Source organism: Homo sapiens, chromosome 17 (assembly GCF_000001405.40).
Source record: "Homo sapiens chromosome 17, GRCh38.p14 Primary Assembly".
NCBI lineage: Eukaryota > Metazoa > Chordata > Mammalia > Primates > Hominidae > Homo > Homo sapiens.
The window spans coordinates 67,101,382-67,123,865 of record NC_000017.11 but is presented as its reverse complement, the minus strand read 5'-3'; the positions used below and the strand labels follow the sequence as shown (position 1 = coordinate 67,123,865).

Sequence of the window (22,484 nt, the reverse complement as noted above, 5' to 3'; positions counted from 1 at the left end):
CTCTCTCTCTTTCTCTCTGACACACACACACACACACACACACACACACAGTCACTTTGGAACCTCTCAATTTTTTTATTCAACACTTAGGGTTTTATCAGTGCATTGATATGTTATTTCTGAAAAGGGGCAATTTTGTAGGTATTCATGTACATATCCAGAGGTTTTGAGGAAAAACATTTAAGCCTTTTATGCAACATAAATTTTCAGAAAATATTTATGTCCTACAAATATCAGATCATAAATATTTCAAGATAAAAAATGTACTTAAATTATTTTAAATATTGCATAGTCGTGCTTTTAAAATAATTCCTTAACTTTCATATTGTATGTGGTTCTGTTACAGTTGTAAGTCAAAACTTTATTCTGAAGAGTTGTATAATTTTTTAGATAGAAGACTGTTTACTAGGAGTGTGTGCATAGCTTTCTCTCTTGAAAGACACATCCTGAGTTCCTCAGAAAATATTTAAAATTATGCTAGTTTATAAAAGGAATGCTTTGTATAATTCAAGTTAATTTTAGGGAGCATTATAAAAATTTTTTTTTTTTGTAATATGCTTTACTTTTCCACACTGATAATTCTTTGATGATAAGATATCTTAGGCAAACCTGGGAAATATATTTTGCTGTTGAATGATTTAAATTATTTTTTCTGGATGACTATGTACAGCTGTTGAGTGCATCCTTTTTCTGTTTATTTTTCAGTTCAGCCCAATCCTTCTGTACTTATTGGCAATCCTATTAGAGCATATACTCCTCCACCCCCTCTTGGACCTCACCCAAATTTGGGAAAATCTCCAAGCCCTGTTCAAAGAATAGATCCTCACACTGGGACAAGTATTCTTTATGTACCTGCTGTCTATGGAGGGAATGTAGTTATGTCGGTGCCTTTACCTGTAAGTGGACATTCGAAATACTTTCTATTGAATCAAGTAAAATAGGTTTCACTAAAATGGTTCTAATCCCAAATAGCATTCTACCAACTTCTTTTTTAAAAAAAATTTTCAGTGCTGATAATCTTCTTTTAAAGCAAATGTTACCTCTAACCTTGAAATTACGAATTGTTGCTTACAATTTGTTATTAGGTTACTAGTGACTGTGAAGAAATTATAATTCAATTTAGAAACCTTTGTACTATTTTGTTTTGTTTTTTTTTTGAGATAGAGTTTTGCTCTTGTTGCCTAGGCTGGAGTGCAGTGGTGTAATCTTGACTCACTGTGACCTTTGCCTCCTGGGTTCAAGCGATTCTCCTGCCTCAGCCTCCCGAGTAGCTGGGATTACAGGCATGCACCACTACGTCCGGCTAATTTTTTTTTTTTTGAGACGGGGTCTCACTCTGTTGCCCCGGCTGGAGTGCTGTGGCGTGATCTTGGCTCACTGCAAGCTCCGCCTCCCAGGTTCACGCCATTCTCTTGACTCAGCCTCCCTAGTAGCTGGGACTGCAGGTGCCTGCCACCACGCCTGGCTAATTTTTTTGTATTTTTAGTAGACGCGGGGTTTCACCATGTTAGCCAGGATGGTCTCGATCTCCTGACCTTGTGATCCGCCTGTCTTGGCCTCCCAAAGTGCTGGGATTACAGGTGTGAGCCACTGCACCTGGCCATGCCCGGCTAATTTTTTGTATTGGTAGAGACAGGGTTTCCCCATGTTGGTCAGGCTGGTCTCAAACTCCTGACCTCAGGTGATCCACCCGACTTGGCCTCCCAAAGCACTGGGATTACAGGCATGAGCCACTGTGCCTGGCCACCTTTGTAATCTTTTAAAATATTTAATTGTAATCTTAATTTGTAATTTGTAATCTTTAAAATTTAATTTGTAAATCTAAATATTTAATTTGTAATCTTTTAAAATATTTTATTGAGGAAAATTGAGCTAAAAGTTAACGGAGCTAATGAATTGGTCTCATTTTGTAAAGTGATGTTTTCATTTTATCTTTTTATTTTTGTATAAGTCAAAAACTGTTCCCAAGAAATACAGGACACAGGCTTGGATTAGTCTAGTTCACTTGGATCTAAATTGATTTGAGAAATTCCACATCTTGTGAAATCTTAACTACTACTTAAAAACATTACTCTATCCTTTGTAAGACTATAGATTTTTAGAGGCCGTCCGTCTTGTATATAAACCCATTTTCTCTTTCTTTAGAATTTTTGAATATTTTGTTAATTTGCTGACACGAGTATTTTCAATTCAGGAGTTTTAGCCTTGGAAACAATTTCTTTCATTTAAGGCAAGCACTGTAATTTCAGGCTGAGATGATCATTGCCAAAGGTTTTTGGCAACCTTGCCCACACTCCAGAATGGGAAAATGCTTAGCTGCAAACATTTCTCAGCCACGTTGGTCAGGATAGTTCACAATCATGACAGCCAAGGAGAATGACTGTAAATGAGAAATACGTAATTCATGCCCACTCCCCATAGACTTCAGACTTTGGATTTTAGCAGTTATTTCTTCCAGACAGCTTGGCAACACTATACATCATCTGCTTTAAATAGTAAGTCCCTTAGGATTTTTATTTCACTTTACTAGGTCAAAGAGACTTCTATTTTGTAAGATTTCTGAGAGTTTGCATTTAACAGTTATAATAAAATAATAGGAGCAGTAGCTCAGATGTCATTGTATTTATTCCTTTTGTGTTAATATGCAGAGATTATATATCTAGACACACTTAAACAAGTTTTCTGTTTTTGTATTTTAAGGTGGAGTTGAATTAAAAGCACAGATGACCTATTTGAATTTTACCTATAATAAATGAACATTAAATGATGTGGTTACTCATATTAAGTTGGAATACCAGTTTTTTGAGTTGAGACTCCTTAGGCTAAGTTCTTCCTTAACTTTTCCCCCTGTCTATTAAACTATGTTTCTATGCAATTATGACTTTAAAAGATTATTTTTATGGTAATCTGACATGTATACATTCATATGGAGGGGAAACAAGTAAATACTATAAAATGATTTAATGCCTCAAGGAATAATTACCAATTTTAAGCCCTCAGTTTCTTCCTAATCTGAAAAATGATCTATTTTCCATTACATACTAAAGGTGCAGGGAGCTGTTTTTTAGCCAGTTAAGACACAATTGTTAGTATTAGCATCAACTTTGTAGTTATTTATTTTGAGAAAATTAACATCTGTGTGTGTGTGTGTTTGTATGTCTTTGTATGTTTGCTTTTCCCTAATCAGCAGCACTCTAGCAGTTTGCCTTCCAAAATATACTTAATGCATGTATTTTATTTTTTAATAACCTAGGTACCATGGACAGGATACCAGGGTAGGTTTGCAGTTGATCCTCGAATTATTACACATCAGGCAGCAATGGCCTATAACATGAACCTATTACAGACACATGGACGAGGATCTCCTATTCCTTATGGCCTTGGACATCACCCACCTGTCACCATAGGCCAGCCACAAAATCAGCATCAGGAGAAGGATCAACATGAGCAAAATCGAAATGGTAAGTTGTACTTCGCTGTTCTCCTGTTCATAAACTGATGACAGGTAAAGTTTTAGCCACATAGAAAGTTCCTTTAACAGTATGATTGTTAACTTTTTCATGGATTATAGACCTCTTTGAGAGAGAATCTACCAGCACTTTGGGAGGCCGAGGCGGGCAGATCATGAGGTCAGGAGATCGAGACCATCCTGGCTAACACGGTGAAATCCCATCTCTACTAAAAATACAAAAAAATTAGCCGGGCATGGTGGCGGGTGCCTGTAGTCCCAGCTACTTGGGAGGCTGAGGCAGGAGAATGGCATGAACCTGGGAGGCGGAGTTTGCAGTGAGCTGAGATCACGCCACTGTACTCCAGCCTGGGCGATAGAGTGAGACTCCATCTCAAAAAAAAAAAAAAAAAAAAAAAAAAAAGAAAAGGGAGAGAATCTAACATATAAACTATGGATCCTCTCTCCAGAAGATACAAATTATGTACACAGACACAAAATTGAGATGTAACCTCAGAGGGTCCTTTAGGTTAAATCCTACCACTTATGATTGGTGTCACTGAGTTTCTGAAAAAAATATTAAATTTGAATATTTAGAGTACTTTAAAATGGTAGTCATTTAAAATTGAGATGGAAGGTCCTCTCCTGTTAAACATTTTTGTTAACTCGAAATATTTTTGTGGTGTACTAAGCATTAATCTTGTGGGATTGTTGATATAAAGGTTATTTTTACTACAAGTCTGCTAGAATTACAAGGAAAAATTACTGTATTTTTTATTCAAGTTTATTGAGGTATGAGTTATATACAGTAAAATTCACCCTTTTAAAACGTACATTGATGAGTTTTAACAATATCCAGAGTTGTTAACTTCCACCAAAATCAAGATACAAGATATTTACATATTTACAAAAAGTTTCTTTCCACCCTTTGCAATCCCATCCTCCAGCTCCCAGCCCTGAGCAACCACTGATCTGACTTTTGTCCCATACTCTCTAGTATGTCATAAAAATGGAATTCTATAATTATTTGTGTCCAGCTTTGTTCACTTAGCTTAATGCTTTTGCTGTTCCACCAGATTATATGTGTCAGTTGTTTGTTCCTTTTTACCGTTAGTATTCAGTTGTATGGATGTACCGCAATATGTTTATTCATCCATCATTTGATACACCTATTAGTTGTATCTAATTTTTGGCCCTTATGAATAGAGCTGCTGTGAACATACATGTGAACATGTTTTTATTTCCCTTGGGTAAATACCTGGGAGTGAGATTGCTGGGCATATTATAAATATATATTTAACTTTATAAGAAACTGCCATATTATTTTTCAAAAGTGGCTGAACCATTTTTCATTTCTACTAGTAATGTATGAGATTTCCAGTTGTTCCAGATTACCATTTGCACTTGGTATGCTCAGTCTTTTTTTAAATTTTACTCTTGTTAGTGGATGTCTAATCATATCTCATTGTGGTATTAATTTACATGTTTGCATGTCCCTAATAATGAGTGATGTTGAGTATCTTTTTATTGTGCTTATTTGCCATGTGTGTATCTTGTTTGATGAAACCTCTATTTATATCTATTGCCCACTTTTTTATTGGGTTGATTGTCTTCAGTTATAAGAGTTCTTTATACATTCTGGATACTAATCTTTAATGAGATATATATTTAGAAAATATTTTCTCCCAGGATATGGCTTGCCTTTTTTTTTTTTTTTTTTTTTTTGCCTTTTAAAGACAGAGTCTTGCTGTGTTGGGCAGTCTGACCTTGAACTCCTGGGCTCAAGCAATCCTCTCACCTCAGCCTCCTGAGTATCTGGGACTACAGGCACACGCCACTGTGTCTAGCTTTCATTTTCTTAACAGTATCTTTCAAAGAGCAGCAGCTTTTATTTTTGTTGAAGTCCATTTTATCCATTTTTTCTTCTATGGATCATGTTTTGGGTGTTGTGTCTTAAAAAAAATATATCTAACCCAAGATCTTCTTTTATGTTTTCTTCTAGAAGTTTTATAGTTTTTAGCTCTTACATTAATTAGGTCCATTTTGAGTTAAATTTTATATATAGTGTAAGGGTAAGGACTGAGATTTTGTTGTTATTTTGTTTTAGTTTTGTATATGTATGTTCAGTGATTCCAGCACTATTTGTTGAAAACTCTGTCCTTCCTTCATTGAACTGCCTTGGCACCTTTGTTGAAAATCAGTTGATCCTATATGTGGATACTTTTTATTAATGCATATGTTTATGTTTACACCAAATATGCTGTCTTGATTATTATAGCTTTGTAAAAGTCTTTAAGTCAGGTAGTGTAAGTCCTCCAACGTTGTTCTTTTTCAAAAGTGTCTATTCCAGGTCTTTTGCATTTCTATGTATTTTAGAATCAGCTTGTCAATTCCTACTAAAAAGCCTTCCGGGATTTGGATTGACATTGTGTTTAATCTTTAGGTCACTTTGGGGAGAATTAACATCTTAACAATACTGATTCTTTTGATCTTTGAACGGAGTATATATCTCTCCATTTTTTTCTATTAGGTCTTTATTTTTTTTTCAGCATTAAAAAAAGTTTTCAGGCCGAGCACGGTGGCTCATGCCTGTAATTCCAGCACTTTGGGAGGCCAAGGTGGGCAGATTACCTGAGGTCAAGAGTTCGAGACCAGGCGTGGCCAACATGGAAAAACCCTGTCTCTACTAAAAGTATAAAAATGATCCGGGCATGGTGGCACATGCCTGTAATCCCAGGTACTTGAGAGGCTGAGGCAGGAGAATCGCTTGAACCTGGGAGGCAGAGGTTGCAGTGAGCCGAGATCACACCACTGCACTCCAGCCTGGGTGACAGAGCAAGACTCTGTCTCAAAAAAAAAAAAAAAGTTTTCAGTATATACAGTCTTTGCACATATTTTGTTAAAGTGAAAGCTTAAATGAATATAAGTATTTAATTTATAATTTTTCTCTTCAGTAATACATTCCAAAAAGACCAGTATGTTGTATTTTTATTTTCATTTAGTTCAGTATGCTTCCTAATTTCTCTTGAAATTAGACCCATGGATTATTTAGAAAGGTGCTTTAGTTGCTGATTATTGGTGATTTTCTAGAAATTTTTCTGTTACTGATTTGTACTTTAATTCCATTGTGTTAAGAGAACATATTTTGTATGACTTGAATGCTTTTGAATGAGATTTGTTTCACAGCCCAGAATGTGGTTTATTTTGGTAAATGTTCTGTGTGTACTTGAGAAGAATAGATTGCTCTGTAAATGTTAATCAGGGGCCGGGCATGGTGGCTCATGCCTGTAATCCCAGCCCTTTGGGAGGCTGAGGTGAGCGGATCACCTGAGGTCAGGAGTTTGAGACCAGCCTGGCTAACATGGTGAAACCTATCTCTATTAAAAATACAAGATTAGCCGGGTGTGGTGGTGCACGCCTGTAATCCCAGCTACTCGGGAGGCTGAGGCAGAAGAATTGCTTGAACCTGGGAGGTGGAGATTGCAGTGAGCCGAGATTCATGCCATTGCACTCCAGCCTGGGCAACAAGAGCGAAACTCTGTTTGAAAAAAGAAAAACAAATGTTAATTAGGTCAAGTTGGTTGGTAGAGTTGTTCAGGTCTATTGTATCCTTGCTGATTCTACTCTTTCTATCAATTACTGAGGAGGGGTATTGAAATCTCCCAATATAATTGGTATTTGTCTAATTTTCAATGTTCAGGTTTCTAAGTTCTGTGAGTTCTTGATGAATTTTGAAGTTCTATTATTAGGAGATAAATGTTTAGGATTGCATACTCTTGATTAATTAACTCGTTTATCGTTATGGAATGACCTTCTTTGTCCCTGAAAATATTCTCTGGTTTGAGATCTACTTTGTGTGATATCAGTGTAGCCTCTTCAGCTTTCTCTTATCAAGTGATAGCATGGTGTGTGTGTGTGTGTGTGTGTGTGTGTATTTTTACCTTTTACTTTTAATCTATTTGTGTCTTTATATTTAAAGTTTGTTTATTTTAGATAACATATAGGTGGCTCTTGATATTTTTCAATCTAATGTGACAGTCTCTGCCTTTTAATTGGGGTGTTTAGACCATTTGCATTTAATGTGATTGTTGATACAGTTAAGTTTGATTCTATCATCTTGCTATTTGTTTTCAATTTGTCCAATTGATTTTTCCGCCTTCTCCTTTTATTCTGCCCTCTTCTGGATTGGTAGAGTATTTTTTTTTTTAATGACTCCTTTTTGTCTCCATTGGCTTATCAGTGACAACTCTTTGTTTTATTATTTTGCTAGTTGCTTTAGGGTTTATAGTATAAATCTTTAACCTATCACAGACTACTTTCCAATTTATATTTTACCACTTCATTTACAGTAAAGGAAGCTTAAAGTATGCTATTTTTTCTCTCCTAGCCTGTATGCTATTGTTATCATGTATTTTACTTTTACATAAGTTACAAATCCCCAAAACATAATTGTTATTTTTGTTTAAACAGCCAAGTAAAAGAGTTCTAAATTATAAGAAAAATAGTCTTAAGTATTTACCCATGTGTTACCATTTCTAGTAATTTTTCTTTCTGTATATTGACGATTCCAGCTGATACAATTTTTCTTTTGCCTGAAAGACTTTTTAAAAATATTTGTTGTATTGCAGGTCTCCTGGTGATGAGTTCTTTCAGCTTTTGTGTGCCTGAAAATGTCTTTATTTCACTTTCATTTTTAAAAGATATTTTTGTAGGGTGGAGAATTCTTGGTTGGCAGTTTTTATCATTTGATACTTTAATGGTGTTGTTCTACCATTTTCTCACTTGCGTTTTTTCCAGTGAGAAATCTGATGCCATCCTTATCTGTGTTTTTCTGTATGTAACAAGTCTTTTTCTCCCTGGCTGCATTATAGATTTTCTTTTTATACTGGTTTTATCAGTTTGATTATGATATGCCTTGATGTAGTTTTCTTCCTGTTTCTTGTGTTTGAGGTTTGTTGAGTTGCTCAGATCTCTGAGTTTATAATTTTTATCAAGTATGTAAATTTTTAAACTTTATATCTTTTCAGATATTTTTTTCTGTGTTGCCCCTACCACTGTTCTTCAGAGATTCTAATTACCCATATATTAGGATGCTTAAAGTTTTTGCACAGTTTATGGGTGCTAATTTTTTTAACATTCTTTTTTCTCTTCATGTTTCATTTTGGGTAGTTTCTATTTCTGTGCCTTCAAATTTGCCAGATTTTTCTTCTGTAATGTCTATTCTGCTGGTAATTCCATTCAGTGCTTTCTTCATCTCCGATACTATAGTTTTCATTTCTTGAAGCTTAATGGTAAGGTAATTCTGGCATGATAATTCATTTTACAAAGTTCCAGTGGAATTCCAAAAAGAATGTTTTGGAACAAGAACCTAAATCAAGGATTCCTTCAAGGAACTTAAACTATCCAGTGGTTAATTCTTTTGTAGATTAAAAGCCTTTCCCATGTATGAATTGTCTATTATAACTGTGCTTTTTTAAAACCTTAATTTTGCCTGCTCTACTATTTATCACCCACTTATACACGGTTTGATATCTATTACTTTTAAGCAGTATAACTACATTACTTTCTGAATATCTTTATTATGTTTAGATTCCTTTACTAAATTAGATTGAGGCGTTATTTAGATTTTTGCTTAATTGCATTTATAAGTGACCAAAGCATTGAGCCTTTATAAATAGGCAAGAAGGCGAAGGCCTTTAACACATCTAGTTTAAGCAAATGAGGCTGTAATTCCTGGAGATTGGGTAGTTTCCTTTGGGATTATTTGATGCTTTAAGGTTTTTCCCTTATTAGGCTTTGCCTTGTCAATGAAGTTTGCTTCATTTGTAAGTTTTCTTTCTTGCAGAGAAACTGTAACTCTGAAAATTTAAGAACAAAACCCAAGTAGTCATACACTGATCATAATGGGTGAAAAGTGTTTAAAGTATTCTGCCTCTTTCTCTAATATTGGATAAGCATTGGAAGTGTCATATCCACTGGAGAAAACTTATAAGGATTTTTAAATATTTTCTTAGGTAAAAGTGATACAAATAATTCCGGACCTGAAATTAATAAGATTCGAACACCAGAGAAAAAGCCAACAGAACCAAAACAGGTATGCTGCTTAGTTACTGTGTTGTCCTAGTGGATTTAGTCTGATTGGTCATCTTGGAATCTTGATGTTTTAAAGAAAAATACCTCCCTTTGTACACTTATCCTTTATGTTTATTTTTTCACAGGGATATAGTGAGCCATATTGCCTTCTCTTTCTTCATCTTTTCTTTGGCTGTGCTATTTCATGTATCAGTATACTTTTCTCAAATTCTGTTATTCAGTGATAAAATTGAATTTAGAGATTTTCTATGATAAGGTAGTAAATGAAGACAGAGCTACAGGTGTGTCATTACAAGTGTGTCATTATCGTGAAGAAGGAGAACTTCTTCCTCAGAGAGGGGAAGACTTACTCAGGTCCCTCACCTTATTCTCTCATCATACCCACTAAGCCCTTAATTCTTTATCTGTCCATTCATCTATTTTCTCTGCTTCTGTGCTTATAAACTACTTAGAGAAAATCAAGTCACTGGTTGAATTAGTGCCACTGGAAGTTCTTGTTTTCTAATTTGAATGGAACCATCAGGGCTCCCCTGCATTTCTTTCACACGTATCTCACTTCCTTTGCCCAGTTGTCTCAGTGACTCTTCTCAAGCCTGATTACCTTCCACATTCTATTATCCTATTGGATGGCTTGCCTCAGACTGACCTCATCAGGATTTGCTCTTGTTAATTTGTAACCTTAAATTTAGCACTTTTACCATAGCCCTGAGCACCCTTACTTCCTGATCACCAGTCTCAGAGGAAGAGTTCCCGTTAAGATTAATCTCTACTTGGCGGTTGCTCACGCCTGTAATCCCAGCACTTTGAGAGGCCAAGGCGGGTGGATCATGAGATCAGGAGATTGAGACTATCCAGGCTAACACGGTGAAACCCCGTCTCTACTAAAAATACAAAAAAATTAGCCGGGCGTGGTGGCGGGCGCCTGTAGTCCCAGCTACTCGGGAGGCTGAGGCAGGAGAATGGCGTGAACCCAGGAGGCGGAGCTTGCAGTGAGCCAAGATCACGCCACTGCACTCCAACCAGGGCGACAGAGCGAGACTCTGTCTAAAAAAAAAAAATTAATCTCTCCTCTTCAACTACCACATAGACCTTGTCCCTTCTCCTCATTTATCTTTGGATTCTTTCCAGCTGTTCGTTCTTCCCTGTCAGCCTATAGCATATTTAGATCTCTTTTAGCCTAAAGTAAGCAAATTGCTTGATATATTTTTTTAAAAAGATAATTTCTTTAACCTTCATCTCCTTTATAGCTACTGCCTCATTTCTCCTTTCTTCCTCACCTCTTATTTGCTCTTTAATCCACATAGTCTACATTTCACTAAAACTATTGTGCTCTTACGAACATACTTCAAATGTAGTCTTACTTGACTTTTCTTGGTATTAGGCACTGTTTTCTACTTCTGTCTTTGACCATCTTGTTTCTTTCGTTTTCTTTGACACATTTTTACTTTTCACAATCTCTCTAACATGACCTCCGTCTTTTTTAAAAAGTTCCTGCTCAGCCTCCCCAAGCATCTGTCTCTAGTCCTTAAGCTGGGATTTCTCAGAGTTCTGTCCTAGTCCCACCTGTCTTGCATTCTATGGTTTCTTACTATAAACCAGTGCAATCCATAATTTTAAGTATCCACTTCATGATACCGACTTCCAAATCTGTATCTCCAACCTCAGCCTAGTTTTATTTAAGCAGCTATTCTCTTTATTCAGTTACTTATATCACATAAGCATCTCTTACTCACAGCTTCTATATATGGAAGGATTCAGTACCCACTGGAGGGGCTGCAGTACAAATGAGGCAGCCAAGGGAACCTCCTGATAGATAAGTGGGGGCTGCAGTGAAAGCTGAAGTGGTACGTGTTTGGGAAGTGGTGCAGAGAGAGAACGAGTGGCATGTCAGGATGGTGCACCTGCACCAGCAGCACATATAGTCAGAGGCAGCTTGGGACGAAACCAATCGCACGAGTCTTAGGTGCTCTCAGAGCAACTGAAGCCAAGATATCTAAGTGTCTCTCATGTCCTTGTTTTAAAATTTCTGTTAGGATTCTTCTCTGTTAGAGAACTAGGCAACCTGAAGACATGTTTTGTTTTCTCTCCCACCCTGATGCTTTGTCTTGGGGCCCAGGAAAAATAAAAGAACTAGTCCTGGTTCTTTTGACTCAGTGCCTCCTCAGTATTAAGAGGAAAATGATAGAGGAGAATCTGATTCTGATAGTAGCAGATGCAGGCTTCTTCAGCTCTTACCATTCTCTACCTTGCTTAGGGAGCCAATTGTAGTATTGTAGAATAGCACAGTCCTTATCTAAATTTCTGTGACGCAGACCTAGCTTCCTTTCAATGTCAGGGTCAGAAGTGATAGAGACAATTAAGATAGCAACTTATTCATAAACAACCTTGACACCTGATTATGACCTCCTTCATGTGACCAAACTATGCATATCAACAATATCTTCTGGAAAAAAGTATATCCCAGCTGAATATAATTTTAGTCATTGAAAAGATGGAGATTTATGGAGGAAAATGTTTGTTTATGAAGAACCTTAATCAGGTTCTGAGACATCTGAAGAGCAGGCATTGCATACTTGGGAAAACTGAGATAGAATTGTCGTGCTTCTCACTTCTTTTTGTAGATAATTTATACATACTCAGTAATCTTAAGGGCCTAAAATTGGCCAAATTTAATGGCAATCCATTTGAGCTAGATGATTAGAGATGAGGATGCACTTGGCACACAATTTGCATCACAACCATTTGTTGCAACAGGTTGGTCACCAAGTGTACCCCAGCTGCAACTCAGGAACAAGCTGCTTGTTCTGTTTTTGGGGAGTGGTCAGTTCTATGGCTAATTTAAGAGCCTAGGGTGAGGCAAGTGCTCTGCAATCCTCAGTCACTAGCTCATCAGTGAAACTTGTAAGGAGATTGACGTGCCAAATTTATTTACACTCCAAGTAATGCATGGAGTGTTTTGACAGAGCCGGAAAAGAAAAATTGCCTCTTTCCATCTTATATTTTATTTTTCACATTGTCATCACTTATGATCAAATTTACATTTCAGAAGGATGACAACACTCCCCAGCTTAAAAACTTTTTGTAGTTATCACAGTTTATGGAATTAAAAACAATTACTCAGTATTGAATAATTCAGGGTCTCATGTGATTGGGCTCTTGTAGTTTCCTCTGATATTGAAAAGGGAAAACTAATATATAAACAAGTGAAGTTATAGCTCTGCGTACACAAAACTTCCCATGCTGTCCGAATCTGCCATACTTTTCCTTTCTTCAACCTTTGCATAAACTGTTACCTTTACCTAGCATGTCCTTCTCTCCTTGGAATATTCCACCTCTTTTTGTAAGATTCAACTCGAATGTCATGACCTCTGTGAAACCTTCCTTAATTTTCTCAGGCACTACAGTTGCATCCTCTTACAGTACCTCTAGTGATATGTTTACATATTGTTATCTTCTACTGAACTCTAGGCCAGGGGTCAGCAACCTTCTTCTGTAAAAAGCCAGATAGTAAATCTTAGCCTTGGGGACCACATGGTCTCTGTTGGAGCTGTTCTGCTCTATCATTATAGTGCACAAGCAGCTACAGACAACATGTAAACAAATGAGTGTGACTGTGTTCCAAGAAAACCTTATTTACAAAACCTGGTGAGCCGGAAATGGCATTGGAGTGGGGGCATGGTATATAGACGCCTGCACTAGGCTCTTGATGTGTAGGCTGAGTCTTCTTATTGCCTGTTTAATTTCCAACACCAGGCACAGTGTATTGTTTGGCCACAATAAATGTTAAAGAAAGAATGTCAATATGTAATGGAAAAATTGACAACCAAACTAGTTATATACAAAGGTGATATAGTACTTGTTTGTTCATTTCAAAGTTGTTTAAATTGAGATACATCTTTTTATTAACATAGATATTTTTGAGGAAATATATTAGATATATAAAAACAATAAAATCAGGCTGGGTGTGATGGCTCACACCTGTAATCCTAGCACTTTGGGAGGCCGAGGCAGGCGGATCACCTGAGGTCAGGAGTTTGAGACCAGGCCTGGCCAACATGGTGAAACTCCATCTCTACTAAAAATACAAAAATTAGTTGGGCGTGGTGGTGCATGCCTGTAATCCCAGCTACTTGGGAGACTGAGGCAGGAGAATTGCTTGAATCCAGGAGGCAGAAATTGCAGTGAGCCAAGATGGTGCCACTGCACTGCAGCCTGGGAGACAGAGTTAGACTCTGTCTCAAAAAAAAACAAAACAAAACCCAAACCCACCCTGAAATCAGAAGGAAAACACATTTTAATGATTTATATCAGAATGAAATAAATGGCCATCTTTCTAAGGAAGAAAGTGTGAAATTAAAAATAATGCCCTGAAAGGAATTAAAGTAGATATGCTAATAAAATGGCAGTATCTTTTCTTATGACTCACATTTAATATGCTGTTTTTTTTCTGTCATCTTTTTAAATTAAAAAAAAATTTCCTTTATTTGATTGTGAGAAAGTAAATAATTGAGCACTCAGCTCTCCTGCTGGAAGATATCAATGTATCATATCCTTTAGATGTGTTAGGGTTGGGAAAAGGTGGAGAGCAACTGAATTTGAATCTTCTGCAGTTAAAAAAGGCTTCTTCTTTTTTTCTAGGTTGATTTGGAATCAAATCCACAGAACAGAAGTCCTGAATCACGTCCTAGTGTTGTTTATCCCAGTACCAAATTTCCTCGCAAAGATAATCTCAACCCAAGACACATAAATCTTCCCCTTCCTGCTCCCCACGCACAGTATGCAATCCCTAATCGCCACTTTCATCCCCTTCCCCAGCTACCAAGACCACCCTTTCCAATTCCACAGCAGCACACCTTGTTAAATCAGCAGCAGAATAATTTGCCTGAACAACCAAATCAGATACCACCTCAGCCAAATCAGGTAGTCCAGCAGCAAAGTCAGTTGAATCAGCAGCCTCAGCAGCCACCTCCTCAGCTTTCTCCTGCATATCAGGCGGGACCCAACAATGCTTTTTTTAATAGTGCAGTTGCTCATCGGCCACAGTCTCCTCCTGCAGAAGCTGTAATTCCGGAGCAGCAGCCCCCTCCCATGCTGCAAGAAGGCCACAGTCCTCTGAGAGCCATTGCACAACCCGGCCCCATTCTTCCTTCACATCTGAATAGCTTCATTGATGAGAACCCCTCGGGATTACCTATAGGGGAGGCTTTAGGTAAGTTCTATTACTGCCAGATGTGAAAATTCAGAGATTACTTAACATGACTTGGACTGTATAATATCATTTTGGGTTAAGATTGAATTGTTTCTTCAAATAATGCTAGCAAAACCCCCCCATTTAGTGTGATAATCAGAAACTAGTTCTAAATGCTGTATGATAGTATCCAGTGGATGTCAGGATCATCATTATGTAAGTGAGGAAGAGTTGTCATCATCATCACCATAACTGATTTCTGGCAAATTTAGAAAACATTTACTTCTTACCAAAACCAAATTTGTAGCTACGTCCTTTGTCTTTGTGGAGAAAATATGTTAGTAAAAAACTTTAAATAATGAACTTGAAACCCCAAATTCATAAAAAATTTTTCACAAATATTTTTGCAGATCGTATACATGGGAGTGTCGCTCTGGAAACATTAAGGCAGCAGCAGGCACGGTTCCAGCAGTGGAGCGAGCATCATGCCTTTCTCAGTCAGGGCAGCGCTCCATACCCACACCATCACCATCCTCACCTCCAGCATCTTCCTCAGCCGCCCCTGGGATTACATCAGCCGCCAGTGAGGGCAGACTGGAAGCTCACCAGCAGTGCCGAAGATGAAGTGGAGACCACATACTCAAGGTATTCCAGCGGACTGAAAATAGCCCCTGGAATGCGACCCCCTCACTGTTCTCTTTTTTGACTGTAGTCCTTTTAGCTTCAAGCTGGAATATTGCCTCAGAGAAATTGGATGCTGGCCTTCCAAGCACACGCTACACAGTTCTCTTGTTGACTCTAAAATACAGAAAACTCATTTAGAAGTAACTCTTCTACAAATTTAGGCATGGATGATCTACTATGGGTTGGAAATTAACTTGTTCCCTTACTTTGTGGTCTTTTCTGCGAGAGAAACATACCATCACTGTGAGCAGCTTTTTTTATTTAGTAGTAATACTTGCAAAGAATGAATAAAGACAGGAGTAAATTCGTGGTTAAAAGCTAAAAATTATATCATTAATTATTTTTATGGTGGCACAGAATTCTACATTCCTATAATTCCAGCTACATATGAGTATTTGGTCCTAACTCTAAGCTTGTTTTTGTGGCCAGTGTCACATGAATGCTCTGAAGTGTTTCCTAATCCCTTCTGAATAAGGTCCACCATCATGGTGACCTTTTATAACTTCCAGTTGTCAAAGCTGTATAGAGACAAGGACAGATGTTTTTAATACAATGGGAACAGAAAGAAATCAGGTAATTGAGCATATTTAATTTCTTCACCTCAGCATCTATTGAGTGTTAATGCTTACATCTGAGATGAATTAATGCCAGTTCTAGTTATTAGTACTATGATTTTGTTTGTTGAAAATACATGTGTAGTTGACTAAGCTTTCCTTAATGTGATGGAGCCTTTTGTTTTCTCCTCATATTTTATTGTTTTCATGTAGGTTTCAAGACTTAATCAGAGAACTGTCTCATCGTGATCAAAGTGAAACACGGGAACTAGCTGAAATGCCACCACCTCAATCAAGACTTTTGCAATATAGACAAGTACAGAGTAGAAGCCCACCAGCAGTCCCATCTCCCCCATCCAGTACAGACCACAGTAGCCACTTTTCTAACTTTAATGATAACAGCAGAGACATTGAAGTAGCCAGCAACCCAGCATTTCCACAGCGCCTCCCACCCCAGATATTCAACTCACCTTTCTCGTTGCCATCTGAACACCTTGCCCCTCCTCCCTTGAAATACCTGGCACCTGATGGAGCATGGACTTTTGCTAACTTGCAACAGAATCACCTAATGGGGCCAGGTTTTCCCTATGGCCTACCTCCATTGCCTCACAGGCCACCGCAGAACCCTTTTGTACAAATACAGAATCATCAACATGCTATTGGTCAAGAGCCATTTCACCCATTGTCATCTCGAACAGTATCTTCTTCTTCGCTCCCTAGCTTAGAAGAGGTAAATGTCTTCTTATTTTCCTTTTGTTATTAGCTGATTGTGAAAAATATCAGTATTTATTGATTTGATAATAGGAAGGCACAGATCTTATTGAATTTAACAGCGTATTAAAGATAATCCTTTCTTGGGAATTATTTTAATTGCCACCCTCCTATTGTATTTCAGGTTTTGTAAAGTGGACACTTTTGTTGAAACATGAAGCCCCTTAAAAGTCTTTTATTGCTGTTTAAAGAAAATATTGAATATCTGAGGACTCTATTCAAGGAGCTTTGTCTTTTTTTAATCTGAGGAAATGGCTTTTAGTGATTCTTCTTTTCGCTTTAAGTTACATGTGTTAATTATAAATTTGTTAATGAGAACTTTCCAAAGATGCTGGCTTTTCAGCCAGTGCCAGCTCCAAGTGCTGTGCTCCTTCTCCTGCCACTCAGCCTGGTGCTTTGTTAGACCCAGGGACTCTGATTCCCAAATATCAGAATTTGCAGATTTTTAACATAAAATTGACTGTGCTAAACTAAGCATTTTAAGTTAAACTGAATTTTATCTTAAAATACTTAGATATTTCTGCCGGGTGCAGTGGCTCACGCTTGTAATCCCAGCACTTGGGGAGGCCGAGGCGGGCAGATCACGAGGTCAGGAGATCGAGACCATCCTGGCTAACACGGTGAAACCCCGTCTCTACTAAAAATAGAAAAAATTAGCTGGGCGTGGTGGCGGGCGCCTGTAGTCCCAGCTACTCGGGAGGCTGAGGCAGGAGAATGGCGTGAACCCGGGAGGCTGAGCTTGCAGTGAGCCAAGATATGCCACTGCACTCCAGCGTGGGCGACAGAGCAAGACTCTGTCTCAAAAAAAAAAATAAATAAATAAAGTAAAATACTTAGATATTTCTAAAGAGCATCTTTATGGACTTTTTTTTCCTATGAAAAACTTAGTAATTCCAGGTTATAAAACTTCCAAAGCAGTACCATGTGGTGTAGGCTACAAAAATGTCTAGCTGATCCCATTAAATTTGCAGTGATTAAAGATAAAAATGTGTAAAGCCGGTTGTAGTCATATCAGACAGAGACATCTTAAATCAGGATAAAGATTTCTAATTTTGATATATGAAAAATACTTTTTTGATATTAGCTTCATTTTGGCAGTTTCAGAATGATATCTAAAGGCCATTAGAAATAATTGATTCACATTTTACAAGTTGCCTGCTATAGATGCTAATTAAAAGTCAAGATTCATAGGGAAAGCTGTATGTCTTATTTGTAGGGATTTAGAGGCAGTCTGTTCAAATTGTCCCAGTATTCATTGATTGGCTCATTCTGTATAGCTGTCATTAAAACAACTTACTGTGATTTTAGGCTCTTAAAGTAAGTTAGAAGCACAATAAAGATGAATTGGTATCTACATATATGTATTGTGAGGATCTAGAATTTTGGAACCATACTTTACAAAAATTTGGCACACATCTGACAGTCTTTCAGATTATAATGAACAGTAGTTTTACAACTGATCAGTAATGTAATTTTCAGTTAAGTGATGTTTTAGCTATTTATAATAAAATTCACATAAAAGTCACCATTTTAGCCATTTTAAATTGTACAATTTGGTGGATTTTAGTGTATTCACAATGTTATACAGTCATCACTACTGTCTAATTCCAGAACATTTCATCACCCATAAAAGAAACCCCATAACTGTTAAGCAATTACACCCCAATTTCCCCACTCTCAGATTAGTAACCACTAATCTACTTTCTGTGTCTATGGAGACATTTCATAAAAATTGAGTCATACATTATGTGGCCTTTTATATCTGGCTTTTGAAGTGCATCCACACTGTAACTTAGGAGTGGAGTTCTTGGGTGATGTAGTAAGTCTATGTTTAACTTTTTGAGGAACTGCAAACTGTGTTCTCTGCACATTTATATTCCCACAGCTATGTATGAGGATTCCAATTTCTCTATATACTCGCTTTGTAAAAAAAATTATAACCATCCTAATGGGTGTGTAGTAGGATCTCATTGTAGTGTTGTTTGTTTGTTTTTTGACACGGAGTCGCACTCAGTCGCCCAGGCTGGAGCGCAGTGGCATGATCTTGGCTCACTGCAACCTCTGCCTTCTAGGTTCAAGCAATTCTCTTGCCTCAGGCTCCTGAGTAGCTGGGACTACAGGCGCCCACCACCACACCCAGCTAATTTTGTTGTTGTTGTTGTTGTATTTTTAGTAGAGACGGGGTTTCACGATATTGGCCAGGCTGGTCTCAAACTCCTGACCTCAGGTGATCCGCCCCCAGCCTCCCAAAGTGCTGGGATTACAGGCGTAAGCCACCGCGCCCAGCCCTCACTGTAGTTTTGATTTGCATTTCCCTATTTACTGATGATGTTGACATCTTTGCATGTGCTTCTTGGTCATTTGTATCTTTTTTGGAGAAATGTCTATTCATATGCTTCAGCCATTTAAAAAAATGGTTATTTTTTTGTTACTTAGTTATAAGAGGTTTTTTTTAATGTATTCTGGTACAGACTCTTAATCTCATATATGATTTGCAATTATTTCTCTCACTGTGTGGGTTGTCTTTTCACTTTCTTGATAGTGTCCTTTGATGCTAAACTACAATTTATCTATTTTTTTCTTTGGCTGCTTATGCTTTTGGTGTCATATCCAAGAAACCCTGGCCTAATCCAAGATGGCAAAGATGTACTTTTACATTTCCTTTTTATAGTTGTTTGTTTTTTTTTTTGAAATGGCGTCTCGCTCTGTTGCACAGGCTGGAGTGCAGTGGCGCCATCTCGGCTCACTGCAAGCTCCGCCTCCCGGGTTCACGCCATTCTGCTGCCTCACCCTCCGGAATAGCTGGAACTACAGGTGTCCACCACCACACCCGGCTAATTTTTTTTGTATTTTTTTTAGTAGATACGGGGTTTCACCATGTTAGCCAGGATAGTCTCAATCTCCTGACCTCGTGATCTGCTCGCCTCGGCCTCCCAAAGTGCTGGGATTACAGGCTTGAGCCACCGCACCCGGCCCCTTTTTATAGTTTTATAGTTTTACCTCTTACACTTGGTTCTTAGTTCTTTGGTCCATTTTGAGTTAATTTTTGTATATTGTGTGAGGTGGGTATCAAATTCATTCTTTTGCATGTGGCCATACAGTTTTCTCAGCACCGCTTTTGAAAAGACTCCTTTCCCCCATTGAATAGTCTTGGCAACATTGTCAAAAATCAGTTGACTGTAGATGCTGGGTTTATTTGTGGATTCTCCATTGTATTTCATTTATCTGTGTGTCTGTCTTTCTGCCAGTACCACACTGTATTGTACACTGTAGTATTGTAGTAAGTTTTGGAATTGGAAGTATGAGTCCTTATATTTTGTTCTTTTGGAAGATTGTTTTGGCTATTCTGGGTTCCTTGAATTTTCTCATGTGAGGTTTAGGATCAGCTTACTAATTTCTTCAGAAAAAAAGCCAGCTGACATTTAAAAAAAGAATTGCTTTAAATCTCTAGATTAATTTGGGGAGTATTGCAACCTTAACAATATTAAGTCTTCGAGTACCTGAACATGGACATCTTTCTATTTGTTCAGGACGCTTAACATTTCTTTCAACAGTATTTTGTAATTTTCCAAGTATAAGTCTTGCACTTCTTTTGTTAAATTTATTCCTAAGCATTTTATTCTTTCTCATGCTATCATAAATGGAATTGTTTTCTTAATTTCATTTTTTGATTGTTCATTGCTAGTGTTTAACCACATGATGATATATTGATTGTGTATCTGCAATCTTGCTGAACTCTATTAACAGATTTTTTTGTAGATATCTTAGGCTTTTTTATATGGAAGATAATGTCATCTACAAATAAAAATAGTTTCATTCTTCCTTTCCAATCTGAATGCCTTTTATTTCTTTTTCTTGCTTAATTCTTGATTGTTTTTCTGGTTGCCACAAGCTTTTAATTAGGTTTCTAGGTTCCCAAAAAATGGATTATGACAGCTTTTGCCAATTTTTTTCTGTTTTTATGGAGGGATGGACTTTGGAGTTTCTCACTCTGCCATTTTTGCTGATATCACTTATGATGTTTTTATTTAACCTGCCAAATGAGTTCATGATATGAGGGGGAACTGTGTGCCAAAGTTTTTATAGGTTTTATGAAGTTTTGTACTTTACTAAATAATACTTCATATTGAATAATCTACTTTAGTCATTGATCTTTTTAAATGGGCCTTAATTTTGGAATTTAAGCTTTTTGTACCTTGGTGCTCTTAATGTCTGATATTTCTGTTATCTTTGTTTGTGTGTGAATAAGTACCTTTCATTGTCAGTGGGTTCTTAGAGTGAAATTTACTTTTGCAAAAACATTTGGTCAGTTTTATTTTGTTGCATGAGATTCACAAATGAGTGATTTACTGACAACACTGAAAAATTTATTTGACAAAGATAATATTTTTTTAGCACATTGCAGATTTTCACATTTTCAGTGTATTAGGGTAACTTTAGTCTGTTCAAAATGCTTTTGCATGAATCATCTCACAAAGTGAATGATTGATGTGCTTGCTGTTTATTTCCAACCTTTTAAAATAATTTCTTTAACGTTAACAACAAAGAAAAGGCTTTTCCCTCCCACTATGGATCCTTTTATTCCCAGAAAACTTAGTAGATTAATCTTGTGGGATGATATCTGGATGTTAGTGTAACAGTTCATTTAAATGGAAATGGTTGGTTACATTATGTTTCACTTGTTTTTTCTTTTTATAGTAATTTTGATTTTCTTGTGACAAATGAAATACATGGCCAGCACAGAAAATGTAGAAGTTAGAGAAATTATTTATAATTTAACTAGACAAAGATACCTACTATAACATTTAGCCTTTCCTAGCATTTATAGATGTGAATGTATGATCCATTAATGGAGGGAGATTATTTGTTGGGAAAACTTGAAACAATTTCTCTCTGCCCTTCCCCCAATTGCTATGCCCACCTATATCACCACTGAATGGGATCTTGGTCCCATTCTGTAACATTTTTTGCTACTTTCAATTTTTAGACTATTCTCATGTAGATAATTAGGCTTAACTCCATGGATTTTCCTTCCCCACCTCAAACGCAGCAAAAGCCATGGCCCTTGGCTGCTTGGCTAAGGCTGGACATTGTGGTCTGGCAGTACTGCCTGCATCCTTTCCCACTTCCGGTCCTTACAGGTGTGATGGGATGAGGAGGACAACAAAGGGCAAAGTGCCATCTTCTCCTGAGCCAGGCAGTAGACCATCCCCAATTGCCAATAGATTGATAAATTGCTCCAATTTGATTTTAAATGCCAGTGTAAGCTTGGGATTAGTGTTTACATTTTCTCTAGACGTTTAGCCAGTTGTCTTCCTGTCTTTTTGGAATTATTACATTCTCACTAAAGAGATGTCACTTTCCAAATTCTTTGCAATAGCACTGTATCATACTTGCTCCGAGGGGTGGGGGTAGTGCAAAATGAAATGCAGAGAGAAACAACAGAAGTTAATTCTTGACCTCTGAGCTTCCAAAAGTTCAGTTTTTAGTAATTTTGGCATGATTAAGGATTTTTCAAAGGTAATTTTTATCTGTGTGGGATTTTTCACTTTGCATGATAATTTAATACTCTAACCTCTGAGTAAGATGTATTTCTTCATTACATATTGTGATCTATTTCTGGACTTTGTGTTTTTCTTCATCTATAAGTTTCTGTGCTAGAATTATACTGTTTTAAGTTTTGAGATTTTGTGGCATTCTAACCCAGTAGTTTAAAGTCTCCCTTATTACTTTTTCCCTTCCAGTT

At 37.2% G+C, this 22,484-nt stretch overlaps 1 protein-coding gene across 9 annotated transcripts in view, besides 1 other annotated feature; it reads left to right on the top strand.

The window, feature by feature from the left end:
* Positions 1 to 22,484, top strand: part of HELZ (helicase with zinc finger) — a 175,546-nt gene that overhangs the window by 122,124 nt on the left and 30,938 nt on the right. For all 9 annotated transcript variants that reach the window (XM_047437225.1, XM_047437224.1, XM_011525544.2 and 6 more), the window contains 6 exons: positions 706 to 896; positions 3,254 to 3,461; positions 9,463 to 9,542; positions 14,180 to 14,750; positions 15,140 to 15,374; positions 16,181 to 16,697. In XM_047437225.1, the coding sequence (XP_047293181.1) occupies positions 706 to 896; positions 3,254 to 3,461; positions 9,463 to 9,542; positions 14,180 to 14,750; positions 15,140 to 15,374; positions 16,181 to 16,697 (1,802 nt within the window). The remainder of the gene's footprint in view (positions 1 to 705; positions 897 to 3,253; positions 3,462 to 9,462; positions 9,543 to 14,179; positions 14,751 to 15,139; positions 15,375 to 16,180; positions 16,698 to 22,484) is intronic.
* Positions 14,859 to 16,058: an enhancer, noted in NCBI's record as "CDK7 strongly-dependent group 2 enhancer chr17:65103924-65105123 (GRCh37/hg19 assembly coordinates)". NCBI's record gives its function as "activates an origin of replication core promoter dependent on BRD2, BRD4, P300/CBP, MED14 and CDK7 cofactors, with strong dependence on CDK7, by STARR-seq in HCT116 cells {active_cell/tissue: HCT116}" and the evidence as "EXISTENCE:reporter gene assay evidence [ECO:0000049][PMID:35650434]".